The sequence below is a fragment of the Homo sapiens genome, chromosome 3 (assembly GCF_000001405.40).
Source record: "Homo sapiens chromosome 3, GRCh38.p14 Primary Assembly".
In the NCBI taxonomy this organism is placed as follows: domain Eukaryota; kingdom Metazoa; phylum Chordata; class Mammalia; order Primates; family Hominidae; genus Homo; species Homo sapiens.
In genome coordinates, this window is record NC_000003.12 from 163,058,199 (window position 1) to 163,062,143 (window position 3,945).

A 3,945-nucleotide genomic window follows, 5' to 3' on the forward strand; every position below is an offset into this window, starting at 1 on the left:
GTTTGTCCTACTGCCAAAAAAATTAAGGAGCACAGACATAAAAGTGAAGTTGGAGTGAAAGTTTAATAAGCAAAAGAAGAAAGTTCTTTGCCAGCAGAGAGTGGGTCCCAAACGGGAGTACTCCCTATGAGGCTGGAGTCCAGGGTTTTTATGGACCGGGAAAGGGAAGAAATTTGGCCATGAGCTGTCTGGAGAATGCATCGCTAAGTTTGGCCCAAGGCCTTGGCCCAGGACCAATCAGGGGCTGAAGTGATGATTCATAAGGGCTGGACTTACAGTCCAACAAAGGAAAACAGAGCGCCCACCAGAACCCACTGGAACCCACTGTGCCCATGCCCACAAATGCAGAAGAAACTTTTCCTGGGAGCCCACTGACTATACAAAAGACAAAGGCATTTCTAGGCCAGGCCTTGTTCCTTTATCTGAGTGAGCTGGAGATTTGTGCAAGTTTTTATCCAAATGGATTGGAGGATTTCTGTGTAGCCGTGGGCATGTCTTCCAGCACAACAGCCTGTGCTAGTTCCCTTATCGATGCTACAGCTCGAATTTTTCCTCAGGCTGCTTATTATGTTACGTGAGGATGAGGCACTGAGCAATGGGCTGCGATTTCCCGAGGACCCTTCCCTTGCTGTCCACCTAAGGCAAACTAACCAACTCCTTTCAATATTATATGAATGCTGCCTAACAACTTTCAAAGCACTTTCCTGCATATCCCAGAAATCTAGTACTGTTAAAGCAATATAATTTTCATTCAGATTTTTTTTATATTTACCAATGTGAAAACATAGTAGAAATATATATGTCTTGTAAATTTAGCTTGCTAAAAAAGAGACTTTTATAACTTTAAGGTGATAATGGAAGGAGTTTGAACAAGTATTATTTTTTAAACACATAATGAGTCACTGCTATATTTTACAGACCATCTGAAAGACTAACTTAGATAAGAAGCATTAGCCAATTTTACTGTAAAATAATGGTTATTTTTACATTAGTTAGTGTGTCTGCATAACATTATAAGTCTCCCCTATAGATCACAAAAATATTCCTAAAAATATGTGATAACCTGAAGTAAAACAAGAGAACAGCTTTTCTAATGTCCCTATTTTATCTGATATATAAGAGTCATCCAAGGAAAATAGAACACATTCATATATTTAGATTCTGGATAATTAGAAAATATTATAAATAACCACATTGTTTAATACAAGTGTATGATTTGTTTATGTATTATCAGTAATAAATGTACAAAATTTCACACTTAACCATAACTCCAGAGCTACTGCTGTACTGCAAATAATTATAAAAAAGAAATAGCCCTAAGAGATTATGGTTCATGAAAAGAGATGCAAACAGAAGTTAATCTATAATATCATACATGTGAATTAACATATTTTATAAATATTGATTTCACTAACTGGGAATGCATAATAATTCTGATTATTTTTTAAAAAATTAATTTTATCTTTGGTTTGCTTAAAGAAAATCGGTTCGGGAATTTCTCCTTCTACCCTAAATAAAGTAATAGGATTTATATCTTCCCTCTCAACTAAAACAACCAAAAAAGGTAACAGACAAAGTGCGTAAAACAGTTGTCAAAACACTGGACTCAGAAAATGAAGGCAGTGATATATGAGAGAAAAAAAAAAAAAGAAAAGCAAGGTCAAACTTACAACCTTACAATTAATCTTTCTTACTGCTTTGAGATAATTTTCAGCCTGTGGTTTACTGAGAGGGAACTTAGACGAGCCCAATAGCCATAGGAAGGCAAAAGCAACACAACCCATAAGATCACTGTATTAGTCAGGGTTCTCTAGAGGAATAGAACTAATGGAATATATACATATGTGTGTGTGTGTGTGTGTGTGAGTGTGTGTATATATATATATGATATATATCAAAGGAATTCAGTGGAGAAAAGATAATCATTTCAACAACTGATACTACAACTACATATATATATATATGTACACAGACACACACACACACACACACACACCGGAGTTTAAGTATTAACTCACACAATCACAAGGTCCCACAATAGGCCATCTGCAGGCTGAAGAGCAAAGAGAGCCAGTCCAAGTTCCAAAACTGAAGAACTTGGAGTCTGATGTTTGAAGGCAGGAAGCGTCCAGCACGGGAAAAGGGTGTAGGCTCGGATGCTAGGCCAGTCTCTCTTTTCACATTTTTCTGCCTGCTTATATTCTAGCCTTGCTGTCCGCTGATTAGATTGTGCCCACCAGATTAAGGGTGGGTCTGCCTCTCCCAGCCCACTGACTCAAATGTTAATCTCCTTTGGCAACACCCTCACAGACACACCTAGGATGAATATTTTGTATTCTTCAATCCAATTAAGTTAACACTGAGTATTAATTATCACAATCACATATTGGAAAGAGGATATCACCAGTGACATGGAGAGCCCCTTCTCCCAAGAGTTTAGCCTTCCCCCAATACCAGGAAAAAGACAAGACTATCTACTTCCACCACTTCTGTTCATCATTGTATTAGTGGTTCCAGCCAGTACAATAAAGCAACAAGAAGAAATAAAATGTCTTACTTTAGAGAAAGAAAATCTTTATAAACAGATGACATAATAGCTTATGCAGAAAATTCAATGGAATCTATAAAATAGTACTAGAAGCAATAAGTGAAGTTAGTAAGGTTTTGGAATACACATTCAACATTTTTTACAAAATTCTTTTTTTATGTTAGTAATAAACACCAAAAAATTGAAATGAAATCTATCATAGCATCAAAAAGTGTAAAATATTTACAGATAAATTTGACAAGTATGAGAAAGGCATACACTCAAATATTAAAAACATTGCCCAGAAAAAAACAAGAAATTTTAATTAATGGATACATATATGATGTTCCTCAATAGGAAACTCAGTATTTTTAAGATTTAACTGTTTCCAACTTGATTTTTATATTCAATAAATTGTATTCAAAATTCCAGTAGGCTTCTTTTTTTTCAGAAATTGAAAATCTGACTCTAAAGTTGGTAAAGAAATCTGAAACTTAAAATAACCAAAACAGCTTTGAAAAGAACATATTTGGAAGATTAACACAAAAAGATTTGAGACTTATAATCAAAATCATTTAGAATTATATTACTATATAGAAATAATAAATAAATATAGAAAAATAGATCAATATGACTGATTAAAGAGTTGGGAAATAGACCCAAATGTATCTGAACAATAGATTTTGGAGATTTTTCAAAGCAATTCAGTGGAGAAAAGATTATCATTTCAACAACTGATGCTACAACAATTAGATATCGATATGCAAATAAGTGAATGTCAATCTGTAATTTACACCATATATGAAAATTAACTCAAAAAGTATCATAGTACTAATTGCAAAAGCTATGATTATAAAACTTCTAGAGTAGTTGGGAAAAATTGTGGCTTTGGTTTACAAAGATATCTTAGATATAATTCAAAATAATTATCTGCAAAAAAATGAATAAAATTGAACTTCATCAAAATTAAAATCTCTATCTCATCAAAAGGTACTTTTAACAAAATTAAAAGAAAAACAATAAACTGTGAGAAAGTATTTGAAAAGCACATACTGATTGTATTTAGAATATATAAGGAACTCTCAATACTGAATACAAATTGGAGTTAGAGGAACAAAGTAACGCTACAAAAATGAGCAAAATATTTTAGCAATAATTTTACCATAGAAAATATACAGATAACAAATAATTTCATAATTAAATGTCAACATAATCAGTTGGAAAATAAAAGTTAAGGCTACAATGAGATCTCTCTATGCCCATATTAAAATGTCTAAAATTAAAATGTTGAAACATACCAAGTATTAGCAAAGATGTGGAAGAACTGGAATACTTATAAATTTTAGGTGTTGAAAGTTTTACTCATATAACCATTTTAAAAAATATTTTGGCAGTTTCTTAAAAGGATAAACACATAT